The sequence below is a fragment of the Homo sapiens genome, chromosome 6, assembly GCF_000001405.40.
Source record: "Homo sapiens chromosome 6, GRCh38.p14 Primary Assembly".
NCBI lineage: Eukaryota > Metazoa > Chordata > Mammalia > Primates > Hominidae > Homo > Homo sapiens.
Window position 1 is genome coordinate 743,804 of NC_000006.12, and position 23,388 is coordinate 767,191.

At 41.7% G+C, this 23,388-nt stretch overlaps 1 long non-coding RNA gene across 2 annotated transcripts in view; it reads right to left on the reverse strand.

The window, feature by feature from the left end:
- The window catches only part of LOC105374873 (uncharacterized), a 30,545-nt gene extending 15,968 nt beyond the window's left edge, over positions 1 to 14,577 (reverse strand). For both annotated transcript variants that reach the window (XR_001743915.2, XR_926363.3), the window contains exon 1: positions 14,510 to 14,577. This is a non-coding gene — a long non-coding RNA (uncharacterized LOC105374873). The remainder of the gene's footprint in view (positions 1 to 14,509) is intronic.
- Between the last annotated feature and the right edge of the window lie 8,811 nt (positions 14,578 to 23,388).

Genomic DNA, 23,388 nt, shown 5'->3' on the forward strand with positions numbered 1-23,388 from the left:
TTTGCACTGCAAGAGACAGAGTTGAGTGACAGAGACCATCTGGCCTGCAGAGCCTCAACTGTTTACTGTATGAGTCTTTACAGAAAAAGTTTGCCAATCCCTGAATCTGGCTTGGGTAATTGGGTGAATGAAATTCACTAAGTTTGGAAATCCACAAGATAAGTAGTTTACCTTGGGACAAGATCAATTGGAGGCATCGATGTGAACATTTGACTCTTGATTCTCAGTGAGTGTGTAGGCTTCTCTACTTTGGGCATTTATTATAATATTTGCATAGATTATTTGATGTCAATTCCAATATTGTACTCTAATTTTAATGTCCTTTTTAATTTAAGGCACAAAGGATTTTTAAAATTCTTACTTTTGAGGTTGGCTATATGTTTAAAATGTCAAGAAGAGAAGATTTTAAATGCTGCCAACTCAAATAAATGATAAATGTTTGAGGTGATGGGTATCCTAAATACCAAGATCTGATCACGGCACATTATATGCATATATCAAACTATTACATGTACCCCATAAATATGTATATTATGTATAAATAAAAAAATTAAAATGTGTTTAAATGACCAAATCCAACTGTCTTTAGTTTTGAGTAAGCTGAAGGATCCTTCAGCTGTCTGTCGTAACAATGAGAAATTCTCACACTTCTTCTGTCTATTTCACATATGGATTTTTAAGAAAATACAATGAGATATTCTTTGGAGCATCAAAAATAGTATAATAAAGGCAAGCGTTTCTGGTGCTTTAGCTTGAAACAAGGTCTGCACTTAATGACCTAGCAGAAGGAGAAGTTGGCATGGCTCATATATTATTCCAATATAATGTTACTTCTGTCCACAGTAGCATAGAAAGAGATGGTGTGTAAGTCACGATGAAATTTTCTGCTGGTGGAAGCATAAATTTGTGCAGCCACTTTAGAAGATTGTTTTACGGTACATCCAAAGCTACACATACACATACCCATTGTAGGTAATATCCGAGCAAAAGAAGTGCTTATGTCTACCAAAAGATATGCACCAGAATGTTTACAGCAGCTTTTTCATAGAGCCAGAAACTGGAAGCAGCTCAGACGTCCATCAAAGGAAGACGAATTCATGAACTGCGGTATATTTATATGATGGAATACCACACAATAAGAAGGGACAAGCTACTGACATATGCAACAACATGGATGAATCTCAGAAACAATGTATTGAACAGAAGAAGCCAGATAAAAAAGATACTGTGTGATTCCACTTATATTTCAAGAACAGGCAAAGCAACTCTGTGGCAACAGAGGTCAGAACAGTGTTTATCTGTAGTGTCCAGGTCAGTGGTTACTGGGTAAATACATGGGGAATATTTTTGGATGTTGAAAATGTTCTCTGTCTTGCCTTGGTGATTGCACAGGTGTATACACATGTAAGAGTTCAAACAGTGATGCAGGTCTAGGTGTGTGCATTTTATGTAAGTTACACCTCATTAAACAAAGAAAACATTGAGCAGTTTTCTGAGGTGCCTGGGGTGCATATATTCTATGTGCGTGAGAGAGAGGAGTTTCCATGGACATCAGATGCTAATATAGGAATCTTAAAGTTTATGATCTTTTATGAAAACGGCAGATCCTACAACAGACACCAGGGCCTACTTGAGGGTAAAGGGTGGGAGGAGGGTGAAGATTGAAAAGCTACCTATTGGGTACTATGCCTCTTACCTGGGTGATGAATTAATTAAATCTGAATACCAAACCTCATAACATGCAATTTACCTGTGTAAGAAACCTGCACATGTACCACTGAACCTCAAAGTTAGAAAATGGCAGGTCCTGACTTTTATTCTTGTCCCAAGAAGGTTCCACTTCACTTCCCAATGGAAGTTATAGAGAAAAAGAAAAAAAAACTCAACTTTTTTTTCCTAAAGAGAGTTTTTGATTTGCTCATGTGTTTGAGCAATTATTATTTGAGATCCTGGAATTCCATGCAGAGAAAATGGAAAATCCTAGGGGTAGAGTTAGTTGCCTTAACTGTAGATGAACCTGAGGATCTGTCTCTTGTGCAGCTCTTTTGTAATGGGCCTGCCAAGATGAGCTAGCTGCAGACATATTTCCATGAAGTTAAAGAGTTAACCTGGCTTAACTCTGTGTTACTTAGTGTCTCCCATTTGAATGTAATTTAGATTTTGGCATAGTTAATATTGAGCTATTCTTTCTTGTGGTAACTTGGCTTTTTAAGGTCATCCTTAGTTCATGATAGTCAAACTACGTCATCAATACAGTTCAGTTCTACTTTTAAATGCATTTTATTATATACTAACTTTGAAATGTATGCTCCACATATGAGTTAGATGGTGATTATTACTTAAGATATTTAACTACTGAATCTATAATATCCAGTCCAGCTGCATATCAATTTTCTAAAATGAACATGTGTTATTTTAATCAAATAATTTATATATATGCATATATATGTGTATATATACATTATACATTCTCTCTCTCTCTCTTTTTCTCTCTGTCTTTCTGTAGTTATCCTTCATGAATTCCACTGGGGATTCTGCTATACAGCTTCATAAGAAACTCTGGGGGTATCATATCTCAAACCAAGCTCCATCTTCTTCCTCCAGTTTAAAAGACCAGCATCTTCATGGAGACAGTGACTGAAACCACAAAGGTGCTCTCCATCACCATCCCCATTCTATCAAGCAAGGAGGCCTGTGTATGCTAACTTTGCAGAATTTCTCCTATCCATGTTGTTTCTTCATCCTTATGTTATTATCCCTCCAATCCATTCTTCTAAAATTATAAGGGTGATCGTTCTAAAACACAAAGCTGATCATATTATACCCTTGTCAAAAGTACCATTGCCTCTTGGATTAAATTCAAATTTCACAGCCTGCCAGGGACTTGATTACCTGACTCCTGCCTACTTAATTTCTTTATTGCTGGTTAAATCTCTTCTTATCCAAAATTTGTGCTTCAGCCATGCCAAGCTTCTTGCAGTAGTCTTCACTCGCCAGGTTAATGTAAGCCATTATACACGTGGTTCTCTTATGTTACTTGCTTCCACCCTCCACCTACACAATGTTCAAGACTGAACACAACTCGTGCTCTGACTGGCTTCAGCCACTCGTTTTTCACCACCCTGTGAACACCAACACTTGTGTTCCTATGCTATTCCCCAACTTGAATGTCCCTATCAATTCTCTTCATCTTTCCAGGCCTATTTTAAAGACCGTGGAGATTCCCAGGCTATTTTAATAGATAGTGGAGATAGTTTAGATTCAGATCTGTTCAGGGACTATAGAATTTGGATCTCCCCTCTTGCCCAGGGCCTTCTTGACAAACTAGAAGAGCCTTTGTGTGGATGAGCGGAAAAGCAGGAGCGAGACCTCTGGTCATGTCTTGTCACGCCATAGTTGTATGGGAGGAAGCCACTAAAGCAAACAGGAAGCTGAGAAATTGGCCAACTGGGGACATTCTTGATAACCACTCTGGATATTTCAGAGGAACGAAAGCCTTCAGAGCTGGGCTTGGATGAAGGGAACTGGCCTGACAACTGTTGCTTTGCTGTGTAGATACAGCTGGTGTTAGACATTTGCATTTGATTATATTTTACTTGCTCTGATGTCTAAATCTATTTTTTGACAGGAATACCTAAAAGAACAAAAGTTCTGCATAGAAGATTCCTTGGGAAACACTCGGGGTTATAGGCAACTTCTTTTTCCCTGTGAATCAAAATCTTGCCGTTAAATTAATGAAGAGTTCTCAGGGTGCAGGAGAGCCAAGTTTCTGTTGTGCTCCATTACACATTGGGAAATGGGAAAGAGAAGAAAGAAATGTGCTGGAACGTGGAGAGCCAGCCACTCTGCTGAGCCTCTTCCTGTGACCTAGTCACAGTCACTTTGTGAGGGTCAGTCATCTAGTGGATAAAATCAAGATATTCCTAAAACTAAGACATTCTGTGTAGAGAAAAAGCCCCTTAGCAAGCAGAACAATATCACCTAGGTATTAATTTCTTACCCGTTTGTGGTGTCTTAGAGGCCAAATAAATTCGTTATATAAAATATTAAGCTTCTCGTAATATTATGACAAATGGCCATTATATTACACGTATTTTAAAAATTATTTTTTTTCTTTTTACTCTCACAATAATTTGAAGTGAACCAAGCAGCCGGCTCATTGTTTGAGAAACAGTTGTTTCATGGGTGAATTGACCTCATCTTCGGCAGCCACCGGTTTGCTAAGCATTTACTTTGAACATTTCTATGGTAAGTGACAGGGTCCTCATGTTTAAGTATATTCTGATGTGAGTCACATCCAGAAAACTTGGGAAAGGGAAAAAGAAAAAAAAAGGAACATGCTGGTCAAGATTTTTGTTTGTTTGTTTCAACGTTCCACATAAGGCTGCTGCCAGATGTTCACATTTCATCTTGCCTGAATAAAAATCTTTCTTATTCAAGAATGTCAATATCATTTAACAGCAAAAGCAATATAATTACACTATTCAATAAACATTTAACAAGACACAGACATTTTCAACTAAAAGAGGACTTACCAGAATGTACCTCTTAGCAATTTACTAGTTAAATTAGTTTTTAAAAATCTATTTTTTTAAACAACATCTGGTGAACAGTCTCTAATTTCTACAGTTTTGGAATGAAAAGGCACTGCACCAGTTCATTGCTACGAACAATTTGCTAGTTGTTTACCTTAATGCCAATCTTACCCCCCTGCCAGACACATATATTTCAAGTGTGTTTTCTGTATTTAAAAAAAAAAAACCCAGCAAATTCAGATTCCTGGGCATGAAGTTAATGCCACTGGGTTCACCAACTGTCACCTATGCTTTAAGATGTCGTGCTTCTCTTGGCACAGTGGAATCAGTCACATTGTAAAGTGAAATGATTTACTGGCTATACCTTTGCTTCAGTTTGCCACAGTATATCCTGATAGGCAAAGTGCTGGGAGAAGGGAGGGAGGAGGTGAGACTGATTATCCACTTGATCTCAGCTGGTAGTTTCAATTTCCTCTTCTTCTCTTTGAGCTGATGCAGTTTGAGATAAATTAATACGAATGATCTGAAAGGGTTAAAAATACCTACTAGCCCATAGCAGAGTCACCAGTCCCACTCGGGCTTGTCAATGTCATGACAGTAGCATACAGGATGGCAGTAAGGAGCACCAACAGCCTGAACACTTACGTGGTTCCGTATTTTAATCTAGTTGCCAAAGCCCCCTCCTTTAATTTTTTTAAAGGTTTTATGGCTGAGTTAATTTACATGCCTGGTTTACCAGGACAATATTGGGCTGCATTTTGCTTTGAAATGTATGACAACAGTCATTGACATATATCAGAGGTCAAAACATAGATCGTTGTTAGAGAAACACCTTGTATTGATCAAATATATTTCCTCTGCGAAACACAAAGTATGCACACGTTCACAGTATGGATCCTTGTACAATTTTCAAGGATAAGGTGCAGCTTCAGTTTATGGATGAGAAAATAAAGACTAAGGACCCAATGCAAGCAGAAACATTGGTCCTTGCTGGGAGGCAGAGCTCCTTAGTGGGAAGAAAGTTGGGCTATCAGAGGACTAAGTTATGGTATAAATGTTGCCATTAGCTATGGCATATTGGATAATTCCTCTATTTTTTCAGTGCTCTTGTTTTGGCATCTGTGAGTTCAGTGCATTTTTGTATCTTCACAACTGTAGATGTGTAGTTGCAGTGGGTATTTAATCATATGACTTCCATAAAACCCTTTGGAAACAAGTTCAGTTGTGTATGCACAGAATGGGAAAAGATCTTTTCTCCCTCTCCTAGGGAGGTGTGTTGTGAGAGGCTGCTTGTCCTGGGAGATGAGGTCCCTAAGGGCACTGCTAGCGAGAAGATGATAGATTGCCACTGTAAGGCTCACTGTGGGGTTTTGTTCTCCTGAGTGGGTTTTGCAAAGTGAGGACAAGAGCTTAATATTTGGATTAGGTCTTATTAGAGAAGAGAAGACAAGGGTTGAGATAGTTGTCAGGGAAGAGAAACTTTGAGAGAACAAAACTGCTTAATGGGGGTTTGGATTCAATTTCCTCTGGGAAGTGCGACTTGGTCTTTTATCTTAAGTGAACCATCCCATTTGTGTCCACGCATTGCCTCGTTGGACTGTTTTGAAGACAGGTAGAAGTGCTGAGTGTGGTTTTCAGAAGACATTGCATTTCAGATAGGGCCGCCCTAGTAGTGACCTTCTAGGTCACTTCCTACAATGTCCCTTCGGCACCTGACCCTATATCTGCCGGTTATTCCTAGGTTATATTAGTAATGCAACAAAGAGTAATATTAAAAGCTAATGATTAATAAGGTTTATACTAATGATTGATAATTGTCCATGATCATCTCTATATCTAATTTGTATTACAACTATTCTTTATTCTAACTATTTTCTTTATTATATTGCTACAGTTTGTGCCTTCAGTCTCTTGCCTCGGCACCTGGGTAATCCTTCGCCCACACTTTTCCTCATTCTTCAACATTTCTTAGCTATTGTTGGTCCTCAATTTTTCCACATTCCATACTGGCAAGTGACGTAGAAGGCAAGAGGTGAGCCTTCAGCTTGAACAAGGCCACTTGAGGCCATATTGGCAAGAGTCATCTTGCCAAAGTCTATAATACCCTATTAGAATTTATGTTGTAATTGCTTTTAATTTATATTTTAAATAAGGGAGAATTGATATTCTTATGATTTTGAGTCTCTTCATCCATGGGTATAGTTCAGCTTTCTAATTACTCAATTATTCTTGCCTTTCAGTAATGTTTGGTAATCAATGACAAAAAAAGCCTTTTAAAACATTTTTTTTTTTGAGACGGAGTTTCATTCTTGTTCCGCAGGCTGGAGTACAATGGCACGATCTCGGCTCACTGCAACCTCCGCCTCCCAGGTTCAAGCGATTCTCCTGCCTCAGCCTCCCGATAGCTGGGATTACAGGTATGCACCACCACACCCAGCTAATTTTGTATTCTTAGTAGAAACGGGGTTTCTCCATGTTGATCAGGCTGGTCTTGAACTCCCGACCTCAGGTGATCCACCTGCCTCGGCCTCCCAAAGTGCTGGGATTACAGGCGTGAGCTACCGCGCCCGGCCTATAACTTTTGCTAGATCAAATCTATGTCAGTTACAGTTTTTGTTGTTATTGGAAATTTTGTATCTATCATTTTTCCTTTCCGTTTAAAAATTTTATTATGGCATACTGCAATGCCAGTTATTTTGCGAGTTGCTTTTTAAAATCCTGCAATCTTGCTGAACTTTCTTATTCATTATAGTTGTCTTTCCATAGATTATCTTGGGTTTTCTATGAGGCAAGGTATCAACTCCTTTTCAATTATCATGCCTATTATTTCTTTTTCTTGCTATATTACATGGTTAAGGCCTTCAGTCCAAGGTGGAATAGGAGTAATGATAGCAGCCATCTTTGCCTTATTTCTGATTTTAATATGAATGCTTGTGCATTTTCATCATTACACATGATGTTGCCCTACTTTAATGACTTCTATCAAAAGAGATATCTTCTATTACTAGCTATAAATCATTCTTTTTATTTATAATTGTAAGTGAATGTTTAATTTTAGTGATGATTTTTCTGCCTCTATTGAGATAAGACAATTTTTCTTTAGTTAATATCATTTACAAATAGATTTTTATTGCTGGCACAAACTCTACTTGACTATAATGAATTCGTTTTGGACAAACACTGCTCAGTTTCATTTATCTAGGATTGTTTTCATCTCCATTCATCAGTAAGGCTGGTGAATATCTTCGAGGGTGGACATTTGGCAGCCCATTCTCAAATATTGTGATTAGGAATTAGAGCTGTATGCTGGTCGTGTCAAAGATGGAATTTGCGTTTGCCCTTCTGTTTCTTCTTATTGCATTTGGGTAATTTCTGTGAACAGCCATTCTACTACTGAAAACCTTATATTTATTTTTCTTTTTAGTGCTATTTGTCTCAGATTTCAATATAAGTATTTCACATAATGATAAAAGTGGTGTGAAACTTTTCTCAATGTTCTGCGAGAGTTGAAATAGAATTAGAAGTATACATTCTTTGAATATTTGAAACGATTTACTGGTGAAATGGTCTGTACCTGGTTCATTTATGAGAAGATTGCATTGTGAGAGCTTTCTCAATTAGCTGAGTTTGCGTATTATCACATTTGCGTTTCCAACTGTTGGCAGAGTGCCTAGCTCAAAGGAGGCACTTGATATGTGTTGTGGTTGGTTGACCAGAAGGTTGTAGCCCACCTTCAATCATAGGAACATCCTCACTCCACTTATTATTGCCTAAATTCCAATTATATAAGTTTGGCCTGGAGTTTTAAAAAGCCATTGTCACCTGTGAAATGGTAACAGTTCATAAAATAGTAACATACTGAGATCTGTTAGTCACTTTCCCATCAATGTGAAGGAATTGCTGAGATGCTTTCCTGATTATTGAAATTAGAATATAAATGGAGTGAGAACAGATAGATTAGGGTGGTAACTGTGAAAGAGGTGGGGGAAGAAGAGAAGAGAGAGAGAAAAAGAGGAGAGAGAGAGACAGAAGAGAAAGAGAAGGAGAAGAAAGAGGAGATGAGAGGAAGAAAACGCAATGTCTATGGGGAAAAATAAGGTTTGCTAATAACTGGAGATCAGCCCAACAATGAAATCATCAAATATCAACTTTGCTTATTTCACAGTTTCACCCAGAATTAACCCTAATGCTATATGGCATGGATTTCTTGATTGGGTGAGACAAATATTTTCTCCAGGCATCTTCCATTTCAGCCAGTTTTGTTTTCTAAATGTCCTGCTGTTTCTGGTTTACAAAATCTCCATCATTCTATGCTTTATGGTGACTAAGCATTTTTTTCCTACTGTCCTATTTCATTAGAGTCAGACTACTTAACTTTCCAGAACATGCTTTTTGTTTGTTTGTTTGTTTGTTTTTAAATGAAGTTTCGCTCTTGTCGCCCAGGCTAGAGTACAGTGGTGCAATCTCAGCTCACTGCAACCTCCACCTCCTGAGTTCAAATGATTCTCCTGCCTCAGCCTCCCGGGTGGCTGGGATTACGGGTGCCCACCACCACGCCCAGCTAAGTTGTGTATTTTTAGTAGAGATGGGGTTTCACCATGTTGTCCAGGCTGGTCTCAAACTCCTGATCTCAGGTGATCCACCTGCCTCGGCCTCCCAAAATGATGGGATTACAGGCATAAGCCACTGTACCCGACCCAGAGCATGATTTTTTAAAGACAGGTTATGATAATTCCCAATGAAATTTTATCCTAAGTTGGAAGATTTTTAAAAGAAATATAACACTGGAATTTTTAAAGATGTGCATCCTACTGAAAAAACAAAGGTATTGTTTTCATTGTATTGAGTTACTATTTCCATCAGATTCTTTTCTAAATAAAATGCTTAAATGTGTTTGATCTCATTAACTTTGGAAGCACAGTACAGTTATTTAAAGGACAGAGAATAGTGGTATTCCCAAGGGGATTACACTGAGAAATCTATCAACAGGGGAGTGAGCACCAGGGTGGAGCACTGTCTGCCCTGGTCTTTTGTGTGATATAAACAATGCAGGAAGTCCTTACCATGATTGACCTCACGAACACACATGGATTTATTGGATTAGCCAGCTTACTGACAGCAGTGGTGGTTCTAAGGAAACAGGATGCAGGAGAGGGTCCTCTTCACTAACAAGACAGTCATTTACAATGAAAATTAGGTGAATACTAATTTGCCTTTTGGTGTCCTTGTTAGAGCATCAGAGGACTGTGTGGGTCACGATGGGAGAAAGTGAGCTGGAGTCAGAGGGAAGCTTCAGTGACTGAGTGACCTAGTGGTCTGGCAAGGCAAGGTTTTGGATGAATCATGTGCTGGGCATCTACTGTTTGGGCCTCCAGGTCCCTGCTCCACCCTTCTCTCTGAAGGGTAACCCACATGCTCCTCATCAGTGTGGCTTTTTATGGAGGCACGGTGAGAAGAGTGGGGTTGGGCTGCTGATTCCTCTGGCTCCATCCAGGGACCTTGGTTTGACTGCGTGTCTCTGTCAAGGCCACAGTTTTCTCTAGGTAGCTCTCATACTGTTGTAACATAATTGGATCCCTCATTATCCCTAACAGATTTCCCCAAACCCCTTCCATGCCATCTGTCTGTCTATCTATCTATCTATCTATCTATTATCTATCATCTATGTCATTTGTCTATATATTATTTAGTTGTCATTTATCTGTCATCAATCTGTCAATAATCTGTCATCTATGTATCTCCATTGTTGTGCAGACCCTTTAAAATAGCTTCTTCACTAAATTCTCTCAATTACTCCATTTAAGTGTAACAGCTATAACATCTGACTGACAGTCATTGGTACCAGAAATGGCCCCAGAAAACAAACCCTCTAAAAAGACTTCTGGCATTGGGTTGCTCCTATAGTGGAGAAGTATACAAATAACTTTGCAGGAGATGAGGCCCTGGTAAGCTGTTCCACACGGTAGCATCAGTTTCTCGAATTGTCCTCAGTGGTGGCATGAGAGGAAGTGCAGGTGGAGGGACTAGGGATGGGATCAAAGGGCAACAGTCCTGGTTGCTTTGACAGCAAAAGTGAGATAAGGATCGTGAGGTCAGCTGGCTGTTTCTGGTGACACTAGACATTGTATACAGAGAAAAGGAGAAATTGGAGATTGTGAGGATTATTATTATTGATTAGTATTATTTGTGTTTTACTCAGAGCACACTTAGACAGTGAGAAAGCCTGGCAGCTTAGTGGGAGCTCCTCACTTCCTGCCATCATGGTAGATGTGGCTGAGCTCTGCCTGATGTATGGGCTGTGGAGCTGCAGCTTCGATGAAGGCACAGCCCCACGGCTCTCACTCTCAGGTAATGGCTGGGTGGGGAGAGGTGGGAGACTGAGACATGTAAAAGGCTAAGAAGTTTAAAACTCCAATTCTCCCTGAACTTGTCTTCAGGCAACTCCTTCTCTAGGTATAAATGCCCTTCAGAGAATACACCTGGGGAATCTGCTCATAAACAGGTGCACATTCCCCTCAGCTGTAAGCCCCTACCACCTCAACTGCCACCAGGCCCATAATAAGATTAGATCCCAACACAGCCCAGATGGAGAGACACAAATCCTGGTTTTGGAGGAGATAGTCTATCTACCAAGAGAATTACAGGATCTTGCCAGTGTACATCTGCTGGAGCCTGGGGAGTATTATGGGATGCCATCTAAGGGTGTTAGACTAGTAAAAATCAAATGGAAGCAGTGATTGGGCTGTATTTATTGAGGTAGGTATAAACACTCAGGATTTGGAATGTAATGTGTTGGCTTGAGTCTACTAGGTTGGCTGAGTGAAGCCTGGACTCAATGGTCACCTGGAGTCAAGGAGGCTCAAATTCTGGAATTTCTCTATCCAATGTTCCAGGAAAAATGGGGAAGTTAGAATGGGCCTATTACATGCAACCTGCTTACCTACCTTCTAATCAGGTCTCTTCTCCTCCTCCTCCTTCTTTACCTCCTTTCTAGTGGGGCCTGGAGGGCTCTTCCTTAACCAAAGTGTGATATAGTACATACTGTCAGTCAGATGTTATAGTCAGCTGGCAAGGAGCCTCCTCTTGAGTGAGTTTTGTTAGCCTGTGTCTTTCAAGGAAACACATTTCCTTGCCTATTCATCTAAAGTGGTGGAGTTTATTAGTACACAGTGGTTCCTAATGTCCCCTAACCATCCTGTCAATGTCTGTAGGATCTATGGAGAGGTCCACTCTCATTCCTCCCGTCAGTAATTTGTGACTCCTCTTTTTCCAGATCAGTCTGGCTAGAGGTTTATTCATTTTGTTCAGCCTCTCAATCAGCTCTTGTTTACATTGATTTTTCTGTCTTGTTTTTGCATTTTCTATTTTATTGACTTATGATTTGTCTATTATTTTTTTCCCTCTGCCTACTTGGGGCTACAGGGAAACATCAGCAGGAGGCGGGAGGCAATGAGAAGAGTGAAGTCCCCCTACCTGGCCACGGCTCCCACTGGGCTCCCTTCTCTGGGCTGCAGTAACTTCTCCTTTCCCTTTCCCCTTCAGGTCAAAGAGCAGTAAGAACCCCCCACCATCATTAGCCCTGAGATACTGCATCACCCCTTGCTGCCATTCCTAAACTCTGCCCACATAGTTAGAAATGCCCCCTTCGTTAAACTCCCTTTACTCAGTCAGTATGGTGTGCTGTTTCCTGCTGGGTCTTGTCTGCAGATACATTCTTATCATTTATTTCTGAATTTTAACACATTCTTCAAATTTTTAAAAAGACTTGTAGGAAAAGTGTGAAAATATTCTTCTGCCACGGATCTGTTGCTAAAGTTAAGCTGTTTTGCTAAAGTCAATTTGAAATTATGGGCCTGGAAAACCTCTGGGTTTATTTTATAAAGAGATCTTATAAAATTGTAGTGTTCATTGGGATTATTCTTTGATCTGTGTTGATAATTTAAGATGTTTACCACTTAATCTCCTAAGTGAAGGCTTTGTGAACACCAGTTTCATTTGCTTTGGCTGCAGATTGCTAATTGATTCTAAGTTAAGCAAGAAACTTACACAGAAGGCAGAATTTGCAATAGTCAGGGAAAATGCCAGTCATCAAAAAATTCTTTGTGCCAATGACTGGACCTGGCCTCAGAAGACAAAAATGGGATTCAAGAGTGGTCCCTGCTCTTAAGGAACTTGTAATGAAGTGGAGGATACATTTGTAAGTAAGTAATAGTACAAATAAGTCTGTGATGAGAAGTATAATAGAAGCAATAAACAAACACTACAGGGGCACAGAACCTTCACAAGTAAAGAGCTCTTGTCATTTGTACTAGCAAAATAATCCCTCCCAATGCCAAAGATTTCTACATCCTAATTCCGAGAACTGGTGAATACATTACTTTACAGGGCAAATAGGAATCAAAGTTGCAGGGAATTAACATTGGCATTAACGTTGCTAATCAGCCGACCTTAAGGTAGGGAGATGGTCTTGAATTATCTGGGTGGGCCCAGTATAATCACAGGGATCCTTTAAAACAGAAGAAGGAGACATAAGAAGAGAGTCAGAAGGAGATGACTCTGGAGGGCTGGTCAGAGAGAGGCAACGTTGCTGCATTTGGAGATGAAGGAAGGGGCCATGGCCTTAGGAATTTAACGACCTCTAAAATCTGGAAAAGATAAGAAAGTGAAGTCTCCCCTAGATCCTCCAGAAACGAAGCAGCTCTGCTGACATCTTAGCTTTATCCCCAGGAGACCCACGTGAGACTTCTCACCTACTGAACCACAGGGAGATACACATTTGTGGTCATAAGCCATTATATCATGCTTGTTACGCAGCAATTGGAAACCGATACACCATATCTGAGAAGGAGAGAGAAAGTCACTGCAGGCAAGTGGACTAGGGAAGGAAAGAGCGGGGGTGATGGAGGCTTCCCTGTGGAGAAACAACAGAGCCAGATGTGGGCCTGGGTCAGATGTGAGCCTTAAGAACCACTCCAGATTTTAGCCTTTACTCTTTAAAACAGGAAAAGAGTGAGTGAAGTTTTTGAGCATATCACAACATTCTTGGTTTTGTCTTTTAAAAAGACGTGGTGTTACCAAGTCGGAGCAGACTTTTGGGAGTAATTGGGAGAGACAGATTCTTCTGTTTAACCTGAGTGATGTCTTCATATTGAGGCTTTTGTGTTCTATGTGACCCTTGGGATAAAGGACCTGTTATTTCTATGTGGAGCCACCAGGCGTAAAGACTCCCACCGCCTTCCATGGTTGCTCACAAGGCCTTGAGCTTGCTGGAGTGTTGGGGCCGTTGTCTGGCCCGTCAGGCCTACTTCATTATGAGTTAATATCAGTTCAACAACTCACTCCAAAGCCAATTCTTTGTTATTTATTTTAAAACCTGCTGTTTTGAATTATCTCTCTCTCTAGTTTCTGTCATTATGTAAATAAGCACAGACTGCATGATTGACTACATTGATTGTGGAAGAATTGGCCATTAAAATAGCAAAATATAAAAGAAAGATGAAACTAAATCCTACCCTCTCCTCCTCCTAGATGTGCAAATTCTAAAACCAGTTCCTTACCCCAAATACTCAAGCTTTGGGGCTCTAGGTTCTGGGATAAGTGAGGTTTGGAAAACGCTGGTTAAAAAAGGTTATTTAACTGGGGATCTCTTATGAGGCAAGTATGCTAACAACCCAAGAAGCTGCTAGGCTTACTTTGCAACAGAACCCTTTTGTTTAGAATGTATTTTGAGACATGTGTTCCTCCAAATGCAATCTGGGACAGGAGGTGAGGAAGAAGAGCGCTCCCCATGGCGCTGGGAGGCCTCGTTTTCAGACCTGTTTATGGCTCCAAGAAGCTCAGTGACACGAGTGAGAGGCTTTGAGTTCTGCATCCTCAGTTTCTAGGCTCGTTGAAACTGATTCGTGACCCTTAATGCTGTGATTCTTTAAAATCCATTAGGAATGACCTTGTTTCACATATTAGTGGATACTCACCAATTATTGACTAATTAGTGATTAGGTTTTTCATCAGATTGTTTTGTAGTCAGTCGTGTTATTGCTGCATATAGTTGCTAAGTAATATTACAGCTATTCTAGAACCTGATGCCTAGAATGTGAATGTGGGGTATCTAAACAGGAGGTTACCTCGGTGGTGGAAACTAGAGTTTGAGATGTCCTCCTATACAGATTCTCATCCTTCTAGCAAACTCAGGATGTCAGAATTGCAGGAAATGTGCGTAAATGACAGTGAGAGGCCACAGTCTTGTGGAGATAAACATACTAGACTCACGTAGTTAGTCGAGGTTTCTGTGTGTAGATCTGCTGATCTTATTAAATCTTGCAACTTGGAATGAAAAATGAATTTTTATTTAATAGTCTCTGGACATCTGTTCTAGAATATGGGTTTTAATACACATTGGATGTTGTGAAGGATCTAATCTCTCCACAAATAAGTAAATTTACAAATAAGTAGAGATAATTGTTTGTGAGAAACATGAGATCGCTAAACCAGAATGTAAGGTTTCATGATGTTTTGAATTATACGTGTGTGCATGTCTGTGTATACCCACATATATTTCTGGATTATATATGTATACATGTAAATATATACAGGCATATTCAGCAAAACATACTTGAAAAAATACATTAAAGCATTAAAGTGTTAGGAAGGGCTATGTCTGAAGTGGAATTAAAAATGATGTTTCTTCTCTTCTTCCTTGCCTTTCTCAAATTATCTAAAGTGAGCACATTGTTTTTGTAACCAGGGGAAATAAAGATTTGTTTAAAAAGCCAAGTTAAAAAAATCAGGCCGGGCACGGTGGCTCACGCCCATAATCCCAGCACTTTGGGAGGCCGAGGCAGGTGGATCATGAGGTCAGGAGATCGAGACCATCCTGGCTAACACGGTGAAACCCCATCTCTCTAAAAATACACGCACACACACAAATTAGCCGGGCGTGGTGGCAGGCGCCTGTAGTTCCAGCTACTCGGGAGGCTGAGGCAGGAGAATTGCTTGAACCCGGGAGGAGGCGGAGCTTGCAGTGAGCCAAGATCGTGCCACTGCACCCCAGCCTGGGTGACAGAGCAAGACTCCGTCTCAAAAAAAAAAAAAAAAAATCAAGCGTACTTTCCTGTATGTATGACACATGGCTTTTGACACATGGACAGTCTACCATTGCATATTGGATAGGAGGGCCTTTCTCTTACTGCTCTTCAATCCACTTACCTATTGAGGCTGTAGAAGCCAGGACAGGTTAGCTGTTTGTGCATGTACTATTCTGTTATTTCCATTGTATTCATCTCTGAACTTTGATAGGAAAAGTAATTCTGCTGCCCTGAAATTCACATAATAATTCCATTTTAGGCCAGTCGAATCTTAAAAATAAGTAAAATAATGATCAATAAAACCTAGACACAAGATTTTGATTCTTGGAGGTCTCATTAGATTGGGAATGTGTGTTGGTTTCATGTGTTAACTTGACTAGATGATAGTACCCCATTATTTTATTAGATGCAAATCTAGGTGTTGCTGTGAAGGCATTTTATAGATGTGGTTAACTTTTAAGATCTCCTGGATGTTGTGGGTGGACCTCACCCAATCAGTTGAAGGCCTTGAGAGCAAAACCTGATGTTTCCCGGAGAAGAATTTCTTCATCAAGCCTGCAGCATCAACTCCTTGCTTGAGGTTACAGCGTGCCAGCCTGTTCTATACATTTTAGATTTGCCAATCCCCACGATAATGTGAGCCAATTCATTCAAATAAATATCTCCTTCTCTCTCTTTCTTTTTGGGAGTAGGTGTATGTATATTAATAAATAATACACAACACGGTATCAGTCCATTTTCACACTGCTATGAAGAAATACTTGAGACTGGGTAATTTATAAAGGAAAGAGATTTAATTGACTCACAGTTCCCTATTGCTGAGGAGGCCTCAGGACATTTACCATCATGGCAGAAGGGGAAGCAGGCACCTTCTTCACAATGCAGCAGGAGAGAGAGCATGTGAAGGAGGAACTGTCAAACACTTATAGAATCATCAGCTCTTGTGAGAACTCACTCATTATCACGAGAACAGCATGGAGAAAACTGTGCCCATGATCTAATCACCTCCCTCCCTCCACATGTGGGGATTACAGGTCCCTCCCTGGACAAGTGGGGGTTATATTTTGAGATGAGATTTGAGTGGGGACACAGAGCCAAATAATATCAAACACACAACATATATAACATATAGCATATATAATATTTAGTAAGATTTTTACGTATATATTATATACATGTGCGTGGGTATCTATGTACACTCTTGATTGATTCTGTTTTTCTGAGAACCCTGACTAACACACATTTTGATACTGGGAAGTTGGGTTCTACTGTAGCGAATTTCTAAAAATGCAGAAGTGGCATTGGAATTGGGTAATGGGAAGTGACTGGAAGAAACTTGAGGTACATGCTTTTAAAAGCCTAGAAGACACTTGGTAGAAGTATGGATATTAAAGGCAATGTTGGGGATAAGAAATTACCTGTTGGGGGCCGGGCGCGGCGGCTCACGCCTGTCGTCCCAGCACTTTGGGAGGCCGAGGCGGGCGGATCACGAGGTCAGGAGATCGAGACCATCCTGGCTAACACGGTGAAACCCCGTCTCTACTAAAAATACAAAAAATGAGCCGGGCGTGGTGGGGGGCGCCTGTGGTCCCAGCTGCTGGGGAGGCTGAGGCCGGAGAATCGCTTGAACCCGGGGGGCGGAGCAGGTTGCAGTAACGCATCTGCAAAGCAGGAAGCATCAAGCAATGCTGGCAACACCACGAGAAGCGGCGAGGGAGAATTCTTCCCTAGGCTGCAGGGGGCAGGCGGCCCTTTCGGCGCGGTGACTTTGGACTTCCAGCTTCCAGAAGCCTGAGAGAATGTGCCTGTGGTCGGAGGCCACCCGGGCCGTGCTAGCGTGTTAGGGCAGCTCCGAGAAACCCGCCCAGCGTGGCCGTGCATTTCCCTTAAGCCCAGGCCTCGGCTGACAGATGCGAAGCGGTAAGAAGAGAAGGAAAGGCCAGCTCTCTGTGTCTCTGGCCGGGATGGGTACCCCCCACGCGGGGAAGGAGAGCTGCTCCTTCTGCCTTTTCTGCTGATGACAAGTGAAATGACGAGAGTGAGGAAAGCCGATGGCCGCGGCCGGCCACACGCTGCAGGACTCGGGAGCTGGTGCACGGAGCTCGGAAAGGTGATGGCACTGCCCGGAGGGGCAGCTCTCTGGATTTTGAGAAAGGCACGTCTTCCCCAGTCTAGTTTCAGACCCAGAGGAAAGCCCGGTTCTTGGCTGGCATTTAAGCTCCTGATTTTTCTCACGTTGCTTTCTCACTGTAATTGTCTTGATCAAGCTTTCACCCTGTGAGATCCACACACAGGAGGAGAGGGATGCAGCTCTCAGCCGTTCACAGAGCCCGGCCCTACCGCACTGCTCAGTGTGCCTACTCTTGGCAAGATGCAACTTCCCGTTCCGAGAAAAAGGACTTAGAAAGGATCGTAAAATGGGCTCCCAAGTCTCCTGGAATAGCAAATAGCTTTTAAAAGACAACCCTTTAATGGCCTATGAGTAACCAAGTCAAAAACAAAAGTATTGAATATCCCTTTAAATGTATGTGAGTTTAAAAAGCAAGATGGGAATACATTTGGCAAAGTTTCTTCTGGATTTTATAGAATTCAAAATACTCGAGAAATTTTTACCTATACGCCCACACACAACTGCAAAACTGTTATAAACGACGTGGGGAGATAACAAAAACGATACTGTGCAAATGCAAACAGTATGCAGCTTCTGCACTGCTGTGCCTGATGGAAACATTTCTCTCTTTTATGAGCTTCTCTTTGCGGATGGAGACGGAAGAAAGATGGGCGTATGAGGCAGGGAGGGGAGAAAGGGGGAAGAGACGCCTATTCCGGGGCTCCATGGCTGTTCTCGATACTCACTCGTGTTGCTCTTTAAATGGAACCATTTGCTGCACATTTTGAATCGTTAACATTTGGTAGAATAGGGGACAATGGATTTTCATGTAAACTATGAATTTTATGACAATGAATTAGCATGTTCATTGAACAGAAAGTAAACAAAGCTTAGTACAAAATTGGTTCAGTATATAACCTAACTCTTCTGCTGCTTAATGAAGTGATGGGATGAAACCAAAACAAATAGCTTTATGCTTTGTAAAGCACAGGGAAACATACTTTCGTGTGTAATTACTGCGTGGTTATGACAAGGCTGGTACCTGCCTGAACCATCAGTTACAAAGTTTGCAGCAACCACTCCTGCTTTAGCAGACTGGGTGTTGAACTAACAAATTACAACACTGGCATTAGAACAGAGAGGAAAATATACATGCAAATATAGTCAGTTCTGACGAACCTCCAACATCTGTTAAGCACCTACTGTGTGTGTACCAGGCACTGGGGATATGGCACAATGAGATGGGGGCATTTGCATTGTCCAGAACTCTAGGGAGGGTAGGGAGGATGAGGTATGATTGTCTTAGTTGTTCTGTGATGATTAATTTCGTGTCATCTTGACCAGACCAGGTTAGTTCAGATATTTGGCTAACCTTTATCCTGGGTGTTTCTGTGAGGGTGTTTTGGATGAGATGGGCATTTAAACTGGTAGACTGTGTAAAACGGATGGCCCTCCCTTAAGTGGGTGAGCACCATCCAATCTGAGGAGGCCCTGAACAGAACAAAAACGCAGAGGAGGGGGAATTTGTTCTCTCTCCCTGACTTCTTGAGCTGGGACATGGTTCTTTTCCTGCCGTCTTTTTATGCCATCGGCTCTCCTGGTTCTCAGGCCTTCGGACTCAAACTGAACCCACACCACTGGCTCTGTTGGGCCTCCAGCTTTGCAGCTGCCGTGGCTTCTACAATTATGTGAGACAATTTCTTATCATCTCCCCACACGTCTCCCACCTGGGTTCTGATTCTCTGGAGAACCCTAATTAATACAGATTTCCAAGAAGGAGACACTGAGGCAAGAATCTGAGGACTACTAGTTGAATAAGAATGACCCAGGAAGCATGGGTAGGAAGGAGAGTGACAGAAGTGAGACAGGGAAAGGAAGGAAGCCAGCCAAGGCTCACTGGCACTGGGGGCAACGGGCCATACTGGGAAATGGTATGGAACGGAAGCTGGTGTTAGTCTGCCTGAGGGTGAGGGAGATGGGCTAGTCATCTTCCAGCTCTCTCCCCCTTCATTGCCTGAGAGCTGCTTCTGGGAGCGTTAACTCCTTAGCCCTTCTGGCCTCTGCTGTGCAGATCATGAGAAGCCTTCAGAGGGAGCACAGCAGGTTCTTGTAGATGGATGCTCTCCACAGGTCCTGGAAGCTGAGGACCGAGGGCATAAGGGTGAGCATTGAACGGCATCCACTATCATGACTGAGGGAATGGAGACTGGGCTGACAACAAGGGCAAAAGGAGTTCAGGGGAGGAAGAGTATTATGGGATATAGTAAGAAGGGAGAAGTTTATGGAGGAGTTGGGGCATTGACTCAGCCTCTCTAAGAGGGGAAGAGGCACGGTGAGGCAGTGTTGTGGAGTGTGTAGTTTTGGAGGCTGTGGAGAGCCTGAGCTGGTGATGAAAGCTGGATCATTGAGTACCATCTGCTCTGGAATGGCTGCAGTGCAAGCGGATGTTTGCCCTAGTGTGCCACATGGACAGGACATTTTGAGCAGAGACACATGAAGTATTTTGGTATGGCAGAGCCTCTCCCTTGCTCCCCAGCATCCATTCTTTTTTTTTTTTTAATTAAAAAAAAATTTTTTTTTGAGTCGGAGTCTTGCTCTGTTGCCCAGGCTGGAGTGCAGTGGCACGAGCTTGGCTCACTGCAACCTCCGCCTCTTGGGTTCAAGCGATTGTCCTGCCTCAGTCTCCTGAATAGCTGGGATTACAGGTGCCTGCCACCACGCCTGGCTAATTGTTGTATTTTTAGTAGAGATGGGGTTTCACCATAATGGCCAGGCTGGTCTCGAACTGCTGACCTCAGGCGATCCACACGCCTCAGCCTGCCAAAGTTCTGGGATTACAGGAGTGAGCTACCAAGCCCGGCCCCCAGCATCCATTCTTTCAGCTTCCATAGCAATAGAATTTTCATCTGGGCACATAGCTGAACAAAATGCAGACTTTATTCCCGGCCTCTCTTGTAGCAAGGTGTGGCCATGTGACTAAGTTCACTGGAAGTAACTGTGAACAGAAATGATGTGAGCACATCTATGCTTTGCCCTTAAAGAAATAGGACGGGCTGTCCAGGTCCCCACCCTTCCTTCTGGTGGCTCAGATGTGCGGATGGTGCAGAGGGCTGTGAATGAAGCAGCATTTTGAAGGGGGCAGAAAATCAACGCAGAAGGAACCTGAGTCCCTTGACACTTTATGGAGTAGAAGCGCAGACTGTTGTCAACATAACTAAACCCATATTCTAACTAACAGATTAGGGAAACTAACCTGGCTGTGATATTCAGGGTAAGCTTGGAGCCGGAAGGACACAGGACTCATGTGGATGATTCTGTCGTTGGCATTCTCCCTTACATTGAGCTCGTTCACGGTTCTGAGGCTTAGCTCTCAGACGGTTCTTTCAGACCTCAATTCTGGTATTTACAAACTGGCATATGGTGACTCAGTGGGGATGCTGTTGATGGAGGGTATAGGGTGGAGGTGGCTTCGGCGAGGGGAAGACACTGAGATACTTCCTGGGAAGATTCTGAAGGAGGAATAGGGTGTGACCCTGAGCAAGCACATCAGAGGTTTGTGTGCTTACATTTCAATGAATGTTTGAACATCTGGTTATGGAGGGACATCTGGTTGGGAAAATGAATTGTGTTGGGGTGCCCTAGTAGAGTGGCAGTAGCAATCCAATATAGCTGATATTCTGCAAGTAAATTGTCATATTGTATTGACCATGTACAATCTAACCAGATAAAGTAGTCTATATTTGTGGTGTGTACCCAATCGGGGATTGAAATTGAATACGTATTTACTCTGAGTAACGTGGCGATGCTTATGCTACTGTGAGTTTACAACTTAGGACTGGGGGTACCTGCTGTGCTTGGGACTCACTTCTTGAACAGAGGCAACCAAAGGGTGTTATCTCTCTGGTTCCTAAGGTTGGTTCCAGGCCAGCAAACAACAGGGGGTGCCCCAAAAGGTGCCCCCAGAAACCTAGGCTCCCCTATCAGGGTGCATCGTGTGGGCAGCCCCCTCTTGTGCACACTTCTCTCGAATGTTCAGAGAAAGGGCGTTCGTGCTGAGAATTTGGCTACATTTCATCCCAGCTTCCCAGGGACTGTGATGCTTGGCGTGTGCCTGGACCAGGGTAGGCACTCAGTAAGTGTGTGTGTGGAATAAACGCACAAGTAATTGACTTGGAGCTCGCCGTCAACACCTAAGGCATAGATTCTTGGCCATCCCAGAACTTTAGTAACCGTGTGCTTATTAAAAACCAGGTTCCCCCAGGAGGAAGTCGGTCCCTAATTTTGTTCGAGGTTTTATTTTTTAGCTTGAGCATTAAAAGATGGTCTGTGCTCTGTCCCTGGCCCTAGTCAGCCCCTCTCTGTAGATCAGTATGGACATTCATATCTTTAGCTAATATTGGGCAGTGGTTTTGCAACCCATATGTAATTCATTAGTATGTAAAATGCTATCTGAGCCAAAATAATATACAAGCTGTCTGAAAAGTCTGGAAACAGAGGATAAACTTATTTCAAAGGGTTTATTAGTTAACATTCAATAATATACTGATTCTATTTTTCCTCAACCTCCAGACACCTTTGTAGGTAAAGTAAGTCTAAACTTAAAGCAATAGGTTCACTCTTTAGTCAGAAAAAGTGCAATGAATATATGGTATTTCCCTTGTTTCCAGAATATTTGGACACTGTAATGTTCTTATTGTAATTTTGTTTTGGATTAATGATAGGATTATTGCTGTAAATTTAGTGATACTTCACCTGGAAAGCTATCTGGCTGTTCAAGAAAAATATATTGAATATGTATTTTTTTGATGATGTAAATAACATAATATTTAAAAGTAAGATTTTCATGTGTTGAAAAGTTTTTGTACATCTTGAAATTGATAAGCGCCTTGGAAAGTTTATTTTAAATTCTTTGTTCTGGATTAGTTAAAAGAGAACAAGTGCTTTAAAATTTGCTTTCAAGTGCCTACTTACAATATGTTCTGAAATAAAATATAAAGATTGAGGTTTTGGCTTAATCCAAACTTTACTCGGCAAAAAATATTTTAAAAGGAGAAAATAATAAATTTGAAGTATGAAATAGGGAAAAGTGCATAATGTTCTCCATCAGAAATCTGTCTTTGCAATATCCCAAGAATCCAGCAAGTTCCACATGTTCCGTAACCACTTTAGAGGGGAACTTAATGGGCTGGATTTGCAGCAAGTTAAATGAGACTTTTTTTTTTTTTTAACGATGTAGTTTTCACAGGCTGATGCCCTTCACTGTTTGAGCGAAACCATCTTGGTTGAACACGTGGGTACATTTCACCATCAGCCTTGTGTCAAATAACCCTGAATTTGAAAATGAAAGCACCCTTCAGATCTTTGCTTTGGGGTGGTGTCATAAACAAATCTGAGTTTTGTTCTCACGGCTTACCATGATCTCTTCCAAACCTTTGATGTATTTATGTCCAAGTTCAAGGATTATATGAGCAGCTCTGAACATTTCATTTTTTGTTCCTTTACAGACGGGGTGAGGCTGAGTCCCTGCCTCTAGTTACCGTGCTGTATGCATAGCCATGATGGTTGAGAGCTAGAATCTTCCTCTGGGAGCCCTTTAGATAAAAGCTGTTGACTTCGCATGTGCAAACCTATCATAGGTACACAGAGATAGTGAGAATAT